The sequence below is a fragment of the Homo sapiens genome, chromosome 15 (assembly GCF_000001405.40).
Source record: "Homo sapiens chromosome 15, GRCh38.p14 Primary Assembly".
Taxonomy (NCBI): domain Eukaryota; kingdom Metazoa; phylum Chordata; class Mammalia; order Primates; family Hominidae; genus Homo; species Homo sapiens.
The window spans coordinates 44,389,143-44,406,425 of record NC_000015.10 but is presented as its reverse complement, the minus strand read 5'-3'; the positions used below and the strand labels follow the sequence as shown (position 1 = coordinate 44,406,425).

At 39.3% G+C, this 17,283-nt stretch overlaps 1 protein-coding gene across 3 annotated transcripts in view, besides 1 other annotated feature; it reads right to left on the bottom strand.

The window, feature by feature from the left end:
* GOLM2 (golgi membrane protein 2) overlaps positions 1-17,283 on the bottom strand; it is a 127,040-nt gene that overhangs the window by 9,333 nt on the left and 100,424 nt on the right. The window contains exon 9 of one of the 3 annotated variants that reach the window (NM_138423.4): positions 3,372-3,539. The exons of the other annotated variants lie outside the window; for them this stretch is intronic. Within the exon in view, the coding sequence (NP_612432.2) occupies positions 3,372-3,539 (168 nt within the window). The remainder of the gene's footprint in view (positions 1-3,371; positions 3,540-17,283) is intronic. 3 annotated transcript variants of the gene reach the window in all.
* Positions 2,992-3,211: a silencer, noted in NCBI's record as "fragment chr15:44695413-44695632 (GRCh37/hg19 assembly coordinates)". NCBI's record gives its function as "represses an EF-1alpha promoter that drives an FKBP-Casp9 reporter gene in an ReSE screen in phorbol 12-myristate 13-acetate-treated (for megakaryocytic differentiation) K562 erythroleukemia cells {active_cell/tissue: K562(+PMA)}" and the evidence as "EXISTENCE:reporter gene assay evidence [ECO:0000049][PMID:32094911]".

Sequence of the window (17,283 nt, the reverse complement as noted above, 5' to 3'; positions counted from 1 at the left end):
CTAGACTAATGTTTTTTTCTTTTTTTCTTTCTTTTTTTGAGACAGAGTCTCGTTCTGCTACCTAGGCTGGAGTGCAATGGTGCAATCTCGGCTTACCACACGTCTGCCTCCCGGGTTCAAGCAATTCTCCTGCCTCAGCCTCCCAAGTAGCTGGGACTACAGGCGCCTGCCACCACACCCAGCTAATTTTTGTATTTTTTAGTAGAGAGGTTGGCCAGGCTGGTCTCGAAATCCTGACCTCAGGTGATCCGCCTGCCTTGGCCTCCCAAAGTTCTGGGATTACAGGTGTGAGCCACTGCGCCTGGCTGACTAATGTTTTTTTCTACTCTATGTTCTGCCTGCTTTGGCTACAAGTGCAAACCATACTGGGAACCCAACCATTACTTCCACATTGGCACAGTAATGAACATTTGGAATCCAACTTGTTGATAAATTAGGGAACAGCCATAATTACCTCTCCCTACTTTTTGGACAGTTAATAATATACCTAAAGAATCCCTGGATGGCCAGGTGTGGTGGCTCATGCCTGTAATCCCAGCACTTTGGGAGGCTGAGGCGGGTGGATCACTTGAGGTCAGGAGTTCGAGGCCAGCCTGACCAACATGGTGAAACCCCCATCTCTACTAAAAATACAAAACTTAGCTGGACGTGGTGGTGCACGGCTGTAGTCTCAGCTACTCAGGAGGCTGAGGCAGGAGAATCGCTTGAACCTAGGAAGCAGAGGTTGCAGTGAGCTGAGATCGCACCACTGCACTCTAGCCTGGGTGAGACAGAGTGAGACTCCGTCTCAAAAAAAAAAGCAAAAAAACACACAAAAATCAACTCTACAACAGGAAGATTCAGCTTCAGCCTGGGTGACAGAGCAAGACTCTGTCTCAATTAAAAAAAAGGATCCCTGGAAACATGTTAACAATTATTTAGGTCTCCTCAGTATTCCTTTTTAGTCAGTTCACCCAAACTTATCCCTCTTTATTTGTTGGAGCTGATGTTCCTGCATCTTTTTGTTCTTGGTCCCCTTTGTAGGTGCCCTATCCTGCCACTATCATCTAGAGAATGCCAGAATGAGACAAGAAATGTTAAATGGCAACACTCAGCTCACGTAAGATTAACTTGCAAATAGGGAAATCCAAAAATGTAACAGCCCCTTCTCTACTTCACTGAGGACATCATCTTTTGTCATTTCCTTATATTCCTTAGTATCGGTGAATTTATTTTCTTGTGAAAGGAATGGGAGGGCAACATGAGGGTCTTGGGGACTTGAAGTAGAAGGTGGCAGTAAGAACCAGGGGAGGAAGAAGGAGAAGAGTACAAGAAAGGGAGAGAGAAGGCACTGAAAATAAATCTACTTACAATAGATTGAAATCCATACAAATATTAAATCAAAATTTTCTGACAATTATCACCTTTAAGATATAAGAAATGATTGACAACAAAGATTGAGATAAACCACTATAATAAAAACCTCAAAATTATCCAATGAGATGAAAAAGCCCTTACAAAAATTAGAGAATATTGAAAGTGTAAACCAAGCAACCTTGTAATACCAGAAGTTAAAGAGTTATTACCCTAGTCACAGTTATAAGAATAAATGCTCAACGAGAAAAGCATGCAATTATCAGTTAAAGACAATGTGCAAAGTACTGTGGCGGGTGGGTGATGTGCAAAGTACTGTGGGGGGTGGGTATAAAGGTAGAAAAGGATACAAACAAAATGGAAGGCAAAATAAATAAAAATTCCTGCCCTCCAAGAGCTTACAATCTAATTGGTGATATGATATACATGCATGAAAAAGCCTTAAAACGTTATAAATAATTGCAAATAAATATAATCCAAACAAATCACAAAAGCAATGAGAAAAAATGATAAAATTTATGAAAAAAGGATGAGATTATAGAAAAAGTACATAATATTGTAAGGTTATATTTATATCAATATCAATATTACCAAAAAGTGTTTGAAAAATTCTTATAAATATAACCTTATATAACTCCTAGCACATATGAATCTCTTTTCTATCCCCAATAATCATAATTTTCCTAAACTAAAATGAACTATGAAAACAGTGCCTAGGTAAAAGTCAGTCTCTAGTTTCCCTTTTTTCTACAAACCATATAATTTTCTAGAACAACTACATTTTCTTCTGGGTTTTATAAAAACAATGCTTGTCATGAGCCTAAATAAAAATTTAATTACTTTAAAAACAGCTAAGGAAGAAATCAAAGCATGTTATGATGAAAAATTTCCATGTATCACATAAAAATGTAATGTATCACACACTAAGGTCACAATCAACTTTTATAGAAAAGAGAAATAGCTCCACAAATACTACTAAACAATATAAGCAGGCAGAAAACTAGCCTAAAAACTTGTAATAGAGTAAAACACTCTGATATGCATGCATGGGTAGGGCTGCATGCACACAGGTAGATTCTGAACTTTCACTAAGTTAAATGCTCAGCAGAAGTAACACAGTGAATAAGAAAAATATGTTGAATCTGTGTAATAAATATAAAAAAAACTCTTCACATATTGATTGTTAAATATAAATTTTAAGCCTCTCAGAAAAAATTCAAAAATAGCCTTCCTCTGCTATGTCAGTGGTGAAATAATCTTATCTTCAGTGTGGAGAAAACCATTCCCTTTGTGGCTTTCCTTATAACGAAAAAGCTACCTGGGCAATATTTGTACCTGAAATAACAAAATGTTTTTAGATGAGAAATTGGAAAAGTGTATTTTCTAGAAGCATTTGCCTTAGGTAAAGTCTAGAGTCATTTTAAACAATTTAATTCTAAAATTTCTGAAGATTCTAAGTTTTAAATCATAGCTGTATCAATAATACACATAAGATAACCAAAATTTTTAAAAATTAAAATAATTTACAGATTTACAAATTCCACTATTATAAAAGTTTTCAAAATAAAACTGAAAAACTCCACAGAACCTCTTTGTATTAATACTGAGGTTGGCTGGGCGCAGTGGCTCATGCCTGTAATCCCAGCACTTTGGGAGCCTGAGGTGAGCAGATCACCTGAGGTCGGGAGTTTGAGACCAGCCTGACCAACATGGAGAAACCCCGTCTCTACTAAATATACAAAATTAGCCAGGCGTGGTGGTGCATGCCTGTAATCCCAGCTACTTGGGAGGCTGAGGCAGGAGAATCGCTTGAACCCGGGAGGTGGAGGTTGCGGTGAGCCAAGATCGCACCATTGGACTCCAGCCTGGGCAACAAAAGCGAAATTCCGTCACAAAGAAAAAACAAAAAATTTAGGTTACACTGCCACTAATAAGTGGGGGAAATTCTACACAAATTCAACCAAAAAACTTAGAGGTGGGTTTCATGGTTATAGCATGGAGGCCAGGCCCACGCTCACCTTGGACGTCTTCCTCTCCACCATCACCATCTTCTTCCTCATTGTAAGCCAGCTCAGCCTGCTTGTCTGCCTCATACTCACCTACGTTACCATCATCCCCATTATAATCCGCCAGTTTAGAGCCATGCTGCGGATCAACAGGGGATTCATTTTCATCAAAGAATCGGCCTGTGAAGTAGGTAGAGGATTAATTCAAGAGTAAAGAGAGAAGAAAAGAAGGAATCTATACGGAAGGCAGACCAGAAAGTAAACAAGTGAAAGCTGGCAACTTTTGGGGTACTGGATATAAAAGGATACATTTTGTGAAGGTTATCCAAGACAAAAGTATATAAGAGGGAAGACTCTGAAAATATGTAATTTTTATTAAGAATTTCTCTTTTGTGTTAATTTTAGTGCTTGCCACTTAAAATTTGAATGATTTCTTAAAGAAATGGGCACCATTTTTAGGAATGTTTTCCTAATAACCAATGACTTCTCTAATATAAGTATGACTAAATTAACACTTTAGGAGAATAAATTATTTTATTACTAGATATGATACATATTTAAAATTTGAAAATCTAGGCCTGGTGCAGTGGCCCACACTTGTAATCCCAGAACTTTGGGAGGCTGAGGTAGGTGGATTGCTTGAGCTCAAGAGTTTGAGACCAGCCTGGGAAACATGGTAAAACCCTTTCTCTACAAAAAATACAAAAATTAACTGGGTATGGTGGTGTGCATTTTGGATTTCCAAAAAGGGATGACAAAGAAGGTAAGCCATCAGAATCCCTAGTGGTTTAAAAAAAAAAAATCCCAAGTAATTCTGGTGTATCTCTTCTCATTTCCTAAGACAGATTTTTAAAAAGACAATGGAATCTTAAGAAAACTGACCTATAACAGGCCAGTATATTATACACATTCATAACCATTAGAAATGAAGAAGACAGGCCTGGTGCAGTGGCTCACACCTGTAATCCCAGCACTTTGGGAGGCCGAGGTGGGCAGATCACCTGAGGTCAGTAGTTCGAGACCAGCCCGGCAAACATGGTGAAACCCCATCTCTATTAAAAATACAGAAATTAGCCAGGCGTGGTGGCAGATGCCTGTAATCCCAGCTACACAGGAGGCTGAGGCAGGAGAATTGCTTGAGCCCGGGAGGCAGAGGTTGTAGTGATCCGAGATCACACCATTGCACTCCAGCCTGAGTGACAAAAGTGAGACTCCATCTCAAAAAAAAAAAAAAAAAGAAATCAAGAAGATAAATAGACATAATACCTACTGTAGAAAACTATTCAACAATTAGACATTGAAAATAAAAATGTTAGGCACACTAGGATCTGATTTAGAAATGCAATACAACTAAAACTATATTTAGACATTAAGTTTAACTTAGCATAAAAGTAGATTTATTTTAATCCATAAAATTAACTTCCTAATAATGCAAGACTTTAAGACTTAGAAATTTAACAACTTTCTGTGATAGGTCTAAATTTTTAAAAATATATTTCAAAAATTTATATTGCAGGCTGGGTGCAGTGGCATATGCCTGTCATAGCAGTACTTTGGGAGGCCAAGGTGGGAGGACTGCTTACGCCCAGGAGTTTGAGACCAGCCTGGGTAACATCTCTACAAAAAATACAAAAATTAGCTGGGTATGGTGGTCCACACCTATAGTCTCAGATACTCAGGAGGCTGAGGTAGAAGGATTGCTTAAGCCCAGGAGTCCAAGGCTACAGTGAGTTAGGATATTGCCACTGTACTTCAGCCTGGGTGACAGAGTGAGACCTCGTCTCTTAAAAAAAAAAAAAATTAGCCAGGGGTCTGTAGTCTCATCTACTTGGGAGGCTAATGCAGGAGGATCATTTGAGGTCAGGAGTTTGAGGTTATAGTGAGCTAAGATTGTGCCACTGCACCCCAGCCTACGCAACAGCAAGACTCTATCTCTGAAGATAAATACATAGATAAATAAATAAATAAAATTTACATTGCAATGGAACACTCAGGAAAAAAAATAAACAGCTTCCTTTGCTTGGAAAGAAAGGTTAAGTACAAATAGAATTCTGGGGGTACTGGTCAATTCTACAGATGGTTCATCACATCATCAAGCCAATGTATTTCTAATTGTTGGGTAAAGAGTCCATCAGGAAAAATCGTTAAAGAACAAATTGCACTTACAGAGGCTTTTAAAGAAGGGCGGGTGTGGCCAGGCGTGGTGGCTCACGCCCGTAATCCCAGCACTTTGGGAGGCCAAGGCGGGCGATCAGAAGGTCAGGAGATCAAGACCATCCTGGCTAACATGGTGAAACCCCATCTCTACTAAAAATACAAAAAATTAGCCCGGTGTGGTGGCAGGCGCCTGTAGTCCCAGCTACTCGGGAGGCTGAGGCAGGAGAATGGTGTGAACCCAGGAGGCAGAGCTTGCAGGGAGCTGAGATTGCGCCACTGTACTCCAGCCTGGGTGACAGAGCAAGACTAAAAAAAAAAAAAAAAAAAAAAAAAAAGGCGGCAAGGCGGGCAGATGGCCTGAGGTTGGGAGTTCAAGACCAGCCTGACCAACATGGAGAAACCCTGTGTCTACTAAAAATACAAAATTAGGCAGGCATGGTGGCGCATGCCTGTAATCCAGCTACTTGGGAGGCTGAGGCAGGAGAATCACTGGAACCCGGGAGGCGGAGGTTGCGGCTCACTGAGATTGCACCATTGCACTCCAGCCTGGGCAACAAAAGCCAAACTCTGTCTCAAAGAAAAAAAAAAGAAGGGAGGGTGTGGGGACAACAGGAGACTGAAGTAACTGGAGTAACTGGGGCCAAGAAAAAGAGCATGAATTCATCTTAAAACTATTCTAGTATAAGCTTGGATATGTACAATATATAAATAAATAAATAAATAGAAAAGTTGATGAAATAGAGTTAGAGAAAAGAAACATACAAGAGAATAGGTAGGCTATTTGTAAGAAAACAGTGTCTCCTAATTATAAATCAAGCATTTTGATGGGCTTTATTATCTTTCTTTTTGAATAATAAAATAAATGATGTCAATATAGGCAGTAAAAAGAGATTTACAGAAATCTATATTTTCTTTTTTTTTTTTTCTTTTTGAGACTGAGTGGCTGGAGTGCAGTGGCCTGATATCAGCTCACTGCAACCTCCACCTCCTGGGTTCAAGCAATTCTCCTGCTTCAGCCTCCTGAGTAGCTGGGATTACAGGCGCCTACCACCATGCCCGGCTAATTTTTGTGTTTTTAGTACAGACGGGATTTCACCATGTTGGCCAGGCTGGTCTTGAACTCCTGACCTCAGGTGATCCGCCCGCCTCGGCCTCCCAAAGTGCTGGGATTACAGGCGTGAGACACCACGCTCGGCCTTCATTTTTAAATCAGAGTTATGAAATACAGAAGACTCAAAACATTAGGCTAAGACAAGGTACTAAAAAATATATATCATTTACTAATATTGTCAGACATGGAATAAAGAAATGTCCCACTTGTACCTGTTATAATATTCCAACAGAACAATTTAAAATTTCCTTTTTTTAGGTGTTTGATGATCTGACTAGCCTAAATTAAGTCAAAATTTTAATACTATAATTACATAGATACTCAGATAATAAAAATATCAACAAGAATGAATAATGACACAATTGCCCTTTGTTAAACAGTGATCTGTGCTATTATATATACAGAATTATCACGTTTGGAGAAATATTTATAGCTAACCTTTAATACTGGGCTTCCAACATTTCACAGACAACAAAAGTTGAAAAACACAGAACCAACTTACACAGAGTTGCCAATCAAGTTAAGGAGATCAGACAAACTTTGCATTAAACATTGAATGAATATAACGGTACAGACAAAAATGCATAATACTGATCAATATAAGGGACTGCTAAATTATTCAACATTTAAGAGCCACATGTCAATGTGAGAAAAGGGAAAGTTCAAAAAGAAGACAATTATATTAGACTATGACAGGGAAAGAAAGAAGCACTGAAAGAACAGGTAAGAACAAAGATGGGGTATTTAGAAGATAGTAAAGAGATTAATTTGACTGGATTTATATGAGAAAGTTAGAGTAAGTTTGAACAAGCAAATTACAGATAATTACGGGGCCAGGCATGGTGGCTCACGCCTGTAATCCCAGAATTTTGGGAGGCCGAGGTGGGTGGATCACCAGAGGTAAGGAGTTTGAGACCAGCCTGGCCAACATGGAGAAACCCCATCTTTATTAAAAATACAAAAAATTAGCTGGCTGTGGTGGTGGGTGGCTGTAATCCCAGCTACTTGGGAGGCTGTGGCAGGAGAATCGCTTGAACCCGGGAGGTGGAGGTTGCAGTGAGCTGAGATTGCTCTATTTGCACTCCAGCCTGGGCAACAAGAGTGAAACTCTTGTCTCAAAAAAAAAAAAAAAAAAAAAAAAGGCTCCTATATTCACTTGTGTTCATTGTTTAAATCCAATGACAAAGTATATAGAATCTCCTATATTCACTTGTGGTCACTGTTTAAATCCAATGACAAAGTATAATGGAAGTATCTACAATGCTTTCATCCATCCATGGTTCACTGATGTATGTGATAGGTATTGCACTATGCACTGTGATACAAAAATAAATCATAAATCTACAGTTGGGCATGGTGGCACACACCTGTAGTCTCAGCTACTCAGGAGGCTTCAGCCTAGGAGTTTAAGGCTGCAGTAAGCTATGATCATACCACTGCATTCCAGCCTGGGTGACAGGATGAGACTCTGCCTCAAAAATAAAAACAGAAAGCAAAAATAACATCCTATCTTCATCTCCTATAACTTAGTAAGGAAAACAGATAAGTAAACAAATTAGGAAGTGATAGTACGTGTGCTATTGCACACTGCTCTAGAAAGTAACATCTGAACATGGAGACAACTGAACATGGCTTCAGTTGGCTTCCTTTTGATAGAGTGAGTTTGAACATTATGTAGGAGGCAATAACCAGTAGTCAAGATTTCTTTTAAGCTCCCTGAGAACTGAAATCTGATCTGCCTTATGCCCTACAGTATCTCCAGTATCTATTTAGGTAAGAAGCTATGAGGACTTACACTAGGAAGACAGAGGAAATGTTAGAAACTGATGAATCAGATACATTTGAAAATGACAAAATGAATATATGTCATAATGGAGCAGAAAGAGTCAAAGGATGATTCCAAATCCTAGCCTGGAAACTATAATTAATGCTACCTATATCCCAAATTGGGAAGGTATGAGAAAGCAAATGTTGCTTTAGATAAACTGAATTTGGAACTACAGTATGACATCCAGATGAAAATGTTTTATAGACACATAGCTATATGGATCTAGAATGTAGGTGCAAAGTGAGGGCTAAACATGTAGATTTAAAACTCATAAATTTCAAGGTGATTGGTTAAACTATCAGAATATAATTTTAGGAAATAAATATTTACAGAAAACAGCTATAAGTCAAAGAAGTGATCTTGGGGAATGACAATATTTAAGAAGAGAAAAAAGAAGTAATGAGGGCAAAGTTATCATTTGATGGTATAAATCTATGATGTGTGTGTGTGTGTGTGTGTGTGGTTTTGTTTTTTTTTTTTTTTTTTTTTTTTGAGACGGAGTCTCGCTCTGTCACCCAGGCTGGAGTGCAGTGGTGCGATCTCAGCTCACTGCAAGCTCCGCCTCCCAGGTTCATGCCATTCTCCTGCCTCAGCCTCCTGAGTAGCTGGGACTACAGGCGCCCACCACCAAGCCCGGCTAATTTTTTGTATTTTTAGTAGAGATGGGGTTTCACCGTGTTAGCCAGGATGATCTTGATCTCCTGACCTCGTGATCGGCCTGCCTCGGCCTCCCAAAGTGCTGGGATTCCAGGGGTGAGCCACCACACCTGGCCTATGATGTGTATTAACAGGAATTAAATAGTAGACTTCATCTCTGAGGCATTTCAACTTTTTACAACCTTTAATACAGTTCTGCTGCTCCGTAACAAAACTGTTAAATCTGTGCCCAGCTAGGGGAGTAATAAAGTAATTATATTTACTTTGGATCCTAGATTTCCTTATATTGTTGCAAAATTCAATTGTGCGCTTGAATATTATTTTCACTCTGGTGGCCAGCTGAAAATGATTTGATTATCAGCAACAATATAGCTTCATCCCAATAGTTTAAACATGAGAACACAAAGAAACAACACACCCACTAGCTATTGAAAGTCTTTGAGTTGTATCAAGTTTGAAAAATTGTAACAGATTATTTTCCATATTTAAATTCCTTTTCTGGGCTAAGTGAGCTAAAGTCTATTAAATATGTAATAAGCATGTATGGCATGTATATGAAGTAATTTTTCATACATTTTACTTTAATTCATATACCACATGGTCTAACTTCATATGCTCCACATCACCTAATTAGGCATTTAACGCGCTTTTCAATTCACGCTAAACAACACAATAAAACTTCAAACAGAATGCTAGACATTCTGTAAGACATCTCAAATATCAGACTACAAACTTCAGAAACTAGTAGAGAAAAAAATGAGTAAGGGCTTTGGTCATGTGGAATAGATAAACTTTAACCTTTTCCATTTACAAAGGCATAGTTTGAATACAACTATCCTTTTAAACTAGTGAGTTTTATTGGGAAGGTATGAGAAAGCAAATGTTAAATGAGAAAGCAAATGTAGCCATTTCTCGTGGCTAAAATTTTATGTTTTATTAAAAAAAAATTTTTTTTTTTGATGGAGTCTCACTCTGTTGCCCAGGCTGGAGTGCAGTGTTGCAATCTCGGCTCACCACAACCTCCATTTCCTGGGTTCAAGTGATTCTTCTGCCTCAGCCTCTCCAGTAGCTGGGATTACAGGGGTTTACCACAACACCCATGTAATTTTTTTTGCATTTTTAGTAGAGACGGGGTTTCGCCATGTTGGCCAGGCTGGTCTCGAACTCCTGACTTCAAATGATCTGCCCACCTCGGCCTCCCAAAGTGCTGGGATTACAGTCATGAGCCACCACACCTGGCCTCATGGCTAAAATTTTAAAATAAAGTTATAAAGTCTTTACTTTTGTCTGTCTGTATTATGTGTACAGGTATACATGTATGTTTGTATATTGTCTACATGGTATCACTGACCTATAAATAAATGAACACTTATAAATTAAATAACTAGCCTGCATGCTTTTCAAGTTCATATGAATTTGGCAATCTTTGGTAAATAAAGATAGCTTTATTTTTTATTTTATTTTATTATATTTTTGAGACGGAGTCTTGTTCTATCGCCAGGCTGGAGTGCAGTAGCGTGATCTCAGCTCACTGCAACTTCTGCCTCCTGGGTTCAAGCGATTCTCCTGCCTCAGCCTCCTGAGTAGGTGGGACTACAGGCGCGTACCACCACACCCAGCTGATTTTTGCATTTTTAGGAGAGACGGGGTTTCATCATGTTGGCCAGGATGGTCTTGATCTTTTGACCTTGTGATTCGCCCGCCTTGGCCTCCCAAAGTGCTAGAATTACAGGCATTAGCCACCGCACCCGGCCCTAAAGATAGTTTTAAATTGTTGGTAAAATAAAATAGAAACACGTTCAAAAAAAAAAACCAGTAGAAAATAAGAGAATAACATTTCTTAATCACAAGAGGGTATTTCAATCAAGAAAAACTAGGCCGTATATTTTAATTCTGTACTATAAGTCAAAGGAAACACCAAGATGAGTCACTTTTGCTGCATTAGTCTGATGTTCGTTTACGGGTTTCAATTTCTCAACTATTTTATTTTTAAAAGTTTATATTTTGGCCGGGCGCAGTGGCTCACGCTTGTAATACCAGCACTTTGGGAGGCTGAGGCGGGCGGATCACGAGGTCAGGAAATCGAGACCACAGTGAAACCCTGTCTCTACTAAAAACAGAAAAAAAAAAAAAAAATTAGCCGGGCGTGGTGGCGGGCGCCTGTAGTCCCAGCTCCTTGGAGAGGCTGAGGCAGAAGAATGGCGTGAACCTGGGAGGTGGAGGTTGCAGTGAGCCAAGATTGCACCACTGCACTCTGGCCTGGGCAACAGAGCGAGACTCCGTCTCAAAAAAAAAAAAAAGTTTATATTTTTATGTCATTAATGTAATATATTACCACTATTGTAAGCAAAATGAAACTATTAGAGCTAGTTACAATAAACCTAGAGAGAATGAAAAGGAAAGTTTAAGGAAGGCAGCCTCTTTTTTCTAGCCTTCATCTATTGGCAGTATTCACTTTCATTTATTCATTTGGTAGTTAACACATTCAACTGATCTTGCATTATTCAATTTAATACCTAGAGTTGTGACTATTTCAAGTACCCTGAAGGTAAATGACACGTGATGACTTATAATCTGTTGAGATATGAGTTATAATCATGAGAGGTGGGAGGTTGGGGTGTACAAACTGTAACAAAAATGTTACTGCAGGCTTTCTTCACAAAACAATTGTAGGAAAACTATTGACTGGCTTTTGAATTGATTTCATTATCAGGAACATATTAGGGCAAAAAGACCACATTTCTATCTCAAGGGATATAGGCCCTGCATATAGTAGGCACAGGAAGCAATCTATTCACTGATGGACTGGACTTGTGGAAGGTAAAGAGAAATAAAGGAAATGAAAGAAGCATGGTAGCTAGAATTTATGGCAAACAGCATCTGAACAACCTTACCATCTCCCCGTTTCCAAGGCAAACCTATACTATCTAGATTTGTGTAGATACACTCTATGATGTTCGCAATGATGAAATCAACTAAAAACCACCTTTCTCAGAATGTATCCCCTGTTGTGATGCAATGTATTCCGTGGTTGCTCAAACCCTGTACATTCCAAAGAAAGCTTTGTTTTCAGGACTGGCCCTTGGCTGGATTCTGAGAGATAACCTCTGAGCCCATGAAATATTCTGCTTTATAAATGTTTTTGTATGCCTGAGGCCTGAGCCATTATGTACCAGTCTGATGAGGTCAATTTATCCTACAAAGTGATTTATGGTGAATAGAGTTGTTCCTCCCTCAGTATCCACTGAGAACTTGTTCCAGGACCCCAGCAGATACCAAAATCCACAGATGTTAAAGTCCCTTGTATAAAATAGCACAGTAGGTCGGGCACGGTGGCTCATGCCTGTAATCCTAGCACTTTGGGAGGCTGAGGCGGGTGGATCACTTGAGGTCAGGAGTTTGAGACCAGCCTGGCCAACATAGTGAAACCTCATCTCTAACTAAAAATACAAAAACTAGCTGGGTGTTGTGGCATGCACCTGTAATCTCAGCTACTCAGGAGGCTGAGGGAGGAGAATCATTTGAACCTGTGAGGTGGAGATTGCAGTGAGCCAAGATTGCGCCACTGCACTCCAGCCTGGGCGACAAACGCTTGAATGTGGGAGGCAGAGGCTGCAGTGAGCTGAGATCACGCCACTGCATTCCAGCTTAGGCAATACAGCGAGACTGTGTCTCAAAACAAACAAACAAACAAACAAAAAAAGAGCATTATAATAAATCTTCATATCTGATAGTGGAAGTCTTTACACTTTATTCCTTTTATAAATTGTCTTGGCTATTCTTATTCCTTTGCAGTTTCCATACACATTTTAGAGTCAGCTTATCAGATTCCACCCAAAACCCCCAAACTCTGCTGGGATTATAATTGGGATGGCAATGAAGTTCTAGATTAATATGGGAGGAATTGACATAATTACAACATTGAGCATTCCAATCCATGGATATGGATTTATTTATATATTAATTAATTTCTGTGAACAATATTTTGTAGCTTATAGAGGTTCTTGTAAATCTTTGTAAGAACTTTTCAAGGTATCTGATGTCTTTTTATGCTATTAAAAAGTTTCTTTTTAAAAGTTTCACTATGTTTACTGCTGCTATATACAGAAATATAATTTGTATATAAATCTTGCATGTAATAACTTTGCTAAATACATTTGTTTATAAATTGTTTTGAGTTTTCTACATATAAAATCATATTGTCTACAAATAATATCAGCTTATCAGTTATATTTCTTCCTTTCCAATCTCTATACTCTTTATTTCCTTTTCTGTGCTTTATTTCATTGATTAGAATCTACAGTGAAAAGCGGAATAGAAGTGATGATGGTGGGTATCCTTTTCTAGATCTCAAGGGAAGGTTTTTGAGAATTAATCATTAAATTTGATATTTGTCATAGGATGCTTAAAATACTCTATCGAGTTAAGGAAATTACTTTCTAACCCTACTTTGCTTAAAATTGGTTGTTTTATCATAAATGCATGAATTTCCTCAAATGCTCACTTTACATCTTTTGAGATGATTTTCCTCATATATTTTGTTAATGTGGTAAATTACATAGATCGCTTTTCAAATATTAAACAATCTTGAATTTTCAGATTAAATCCAACATGGTCATCATGTATATAATTTTTATCTATCTCTGGATTTGACTTGCTAATGTTTTGTTCAGAATTTTTTTTTTTTTTTTTGAGACCGAGTCTCGCTTTGTCACCAGGCTGGAGTGCAGTGGCACAATCTTGGCTCACTGCAACCTCCGCCTCCCGGGTTCAAGCGATTCTCCAGCCTCAGCCTCCTAAGTAGCTGGTACTATATGTGCGCACCACCGCACCCAGCTAATTTTTGTATTTTTAGTAGAGACAGGGTTTCACCATGTTGACCAGGCTGGTCTCAAACTCCTGACCTCAGGTGATCCACCTGCCTTGGCCTCCCAAAGTGCTGGGATTTACAGGCGTGAGCTACGTGCCTGGCCTTGTTTAGGATTTTTATATCTATATTAATAAGAGAAACTGCTATAATTTTTCTTTCTCATAATATTCTTAGTTTTGCTGTCCAACTTATGCTGGTCTCATAAAATGGGTTGGGGAGTGTTTTTTTCCTTTTCAATTCTCTGAAAGTTTATGTTACATTGGTTGTATTCTTTCATGTTTGAAAGAATTCACCAGCTGGGTGCGGTGGCTCACACCTGTAATCCCAGCACTTTGGGAGGCCAAGCCAGGAGCATCACCTGAGGTTGGGAGTTCAAGACCAGCCTGACCAACATGGAGAAACCCTGTCTCTACTAAAAATACAAAATTAGCAGGGCATGGTGGCACGTGCCTGTAATCCCAGCTACTCGGGAGGCTGAGGCAGGAGAATAGCTTGAACCTGGGAGGCAGAGGTTGCGGTGAGCTGAGATTGTGCCATTGCACTCCAGCCTGGGCAACAAGAGCAAAACTCCATCTCAAAAATAAATAAATAAATAAAAAATAAAGAATTCATCAATGAAACCATTTAGGTACCAAAATATTAACTTACAGATTCAATATGTTAATAGACATGGAACTATTCAGATTTTCCCTATCTTTTTCTGTCAGTTTTGTATAGAAGTGTTTTTCTAGGACATTGGCCATTTCATCTAACTTTGCAAATGTTTTGGCATTAAATTAATAATACCTCTTATCATGTGTCCTTTAATATTATTTGTAGGATCTATATTGATGTTCTTTTTTTTTCATTTTTGTTATTGAGAATTTGTGTCATCTCTTCCTGTCTTAATGTGTGCTGACGATCTTTCCAATTTCTTTTTTTTTTTTTGAGATGGAGTCTCACTTTGTCGCCCAGGCTGGAGTACAGTGGCGCAATCTTGGCTCACTGCAACCTCCACCTCCCGGGTTCACGCCATTCTCCTGCCTCAGCCTCCCAAGTAGCTGGGACTACAGGCGCCCGCCACCACGACCGGCTAATTTTTTGTATTTTTTTTAGTAGAGACGGGGCTTCACCGTGTTAGCCAGGATGGTCTCGATCTCCCGACCTCGTGATCTGCCCGCCTCAGCCTCCCAAAGTGCTGGGATTACAGGTGTGAGCCACCACACCTGGCTGGTCTTTCCAATTTCACTTGCCTTTTCAAAGAACCAGTTTTTGGTTTGCTTGATTTCATACAGTGACCCTGAATTAGTAATCAAGCTAAACTCTCATTAACTTTTACCAGTCTCTTTTGAGGGAAGGGGGGAACTTTTGATACCTATTCAACTTATTTAATGATTATTGGTTTATTCAAGTTTTCAAATCTTCATGAGCCAATTTAGGTAACTAATAATTGCCACAGTTTGAATGTGTCCTCTCCAAAATTCATGTTGCAGCTTAATCCCTACTGTGGTGATATTAAGAGATGGGGCCTTTGGGAGGTGATTAGGCCATTAGGGCTCCACTCTTATAAATGGGATGAGGGACCTTAGAAAAGGGGGCTGAGCATGGTGGCTCATGCCTGTAATCCCAGCACTTTGGGAGGCTGAGGCGGGCGGATCACCTGAGGTTAGGAGTACGAGACCAGCCCGACCAACATGGAGAAACCCCGTCTCTACTAAAAATATAACATTAGCCGGGCGTGGTGGTGCATGCCTGTAATCCCAGTTACTTGGGAGGCTGAGGCAGGAGAATCACTTGAACCTGGGAGGTGGAGGTTGCGGTGGGTGAGCCGAGATCGTGCCATTGCACTCCAGCCTGGGCAACAAGAGTGAAACTCCATCTCAAAAAAAAAAAAAAAAATTCTATATGTAAAGGAAGATCAGGTATTCTGTGATACACTAGCTTGCCTCTCCAGTGTTCCTTGGGAGAATGATTAATAACCACTGTTAAATAAATGAAACCCTGCTGCTATACAGAAAAGCCAATATGAGAAGCAATTTGATCAACAATCACTCCCTACTGTTTGGAGTAACCACCCTCATGACTTTCCATATGGGAGCTGACATTTGAAGTAAATTCTTATCTCTATTCAAAGCATCTAAATACAAATGGTATGTCCCTCCTAGCTGGCAAACATGTAGGCCTCGCCTGGATTTTCAGTTTCAACTATTTTGGAAGATGTCTGTTTCTTTGAAGTATCCCTAAACTATATTTTGTGTCACCACATAGCCTACATTCTAAAGTTTAAATTAAACTAACCCAAATACATCTTCCAAATATGGTGAAATATACCCCAAAATGTTCTAGCCACTTTTGCATGATGTGGTAATACAAAATTAAATTTACAAAAATATGCAGCTCTTTATAAATATATCAATATAAGTATGATATATTAAGCTATAAAACAAAAATACTAAAGTTAAAGCTGCCAAAAAATTTGTAGTGAGGTCAGGAATGGTGGCTCATGCCTGTAGTCCCAGCACTTTGGGACACTGAGGTGGGAGGACTGCTTGAGCTCAGGAGTTTGAAACCAGCCTGAGCAACATGGTGAAACTGTCTCTGCAAAAATACAAAAATTAGCCAGGCATGGTGGCACACACCTGTAGTCCCAGCTATTCAGGAGGCTGAGGTAGGATGATCCCTTGAGCCCAAGGAGGTCAAGGTTGTAGTGAGCTATGAACGTGCTAATGCAGTACAACCTGGGTGAGAGAGTGAGACCCTGTCTCAAAAAACAAAACAAAACAAAAATTGTGGTGATAACTATATAAAGTCTAAGGACTTCCCCTCCTTTTCTAATAGTGTTTTCAATAAAATTTTCAACTTTTTTCTAACAGCATGTTATTTTGTACCTACAGAGTATCAAGTGCTTTTATTTTTTATTTACTTATTTATTTATTTGAGACAGGGTCTCACTCTGTTGTCTAAGCTGGAGTGCAGTGGCGTGATCATGGCTCACTGCAACCTCTGCTTCCCAGATTGAAGCAATCCTCCCACTCAGCCTCCTGAGTAGCTGAGACTGCAGGCGTGTACCACCACACCTGGGTAATTTTGTATTTTCAGTAGAGACAGGGTTCTGCCATGTTGGCCAGGCTGCTCTCGAACTCCTGGCCTCAAGTGATCCACCTGCCTCAGCCTCCAAAAGTGCTGGGATTACAGGCGTGTGCCACTGTGCCCGGCCACAATGAAATTTTTGAGAATAATGATTTAGATACAAATAATGATTTGACAAGTGTTAAATGAAAGAAAAAAATTGTAAGTCAAAAAAGAAGAAAACTATAAAGCA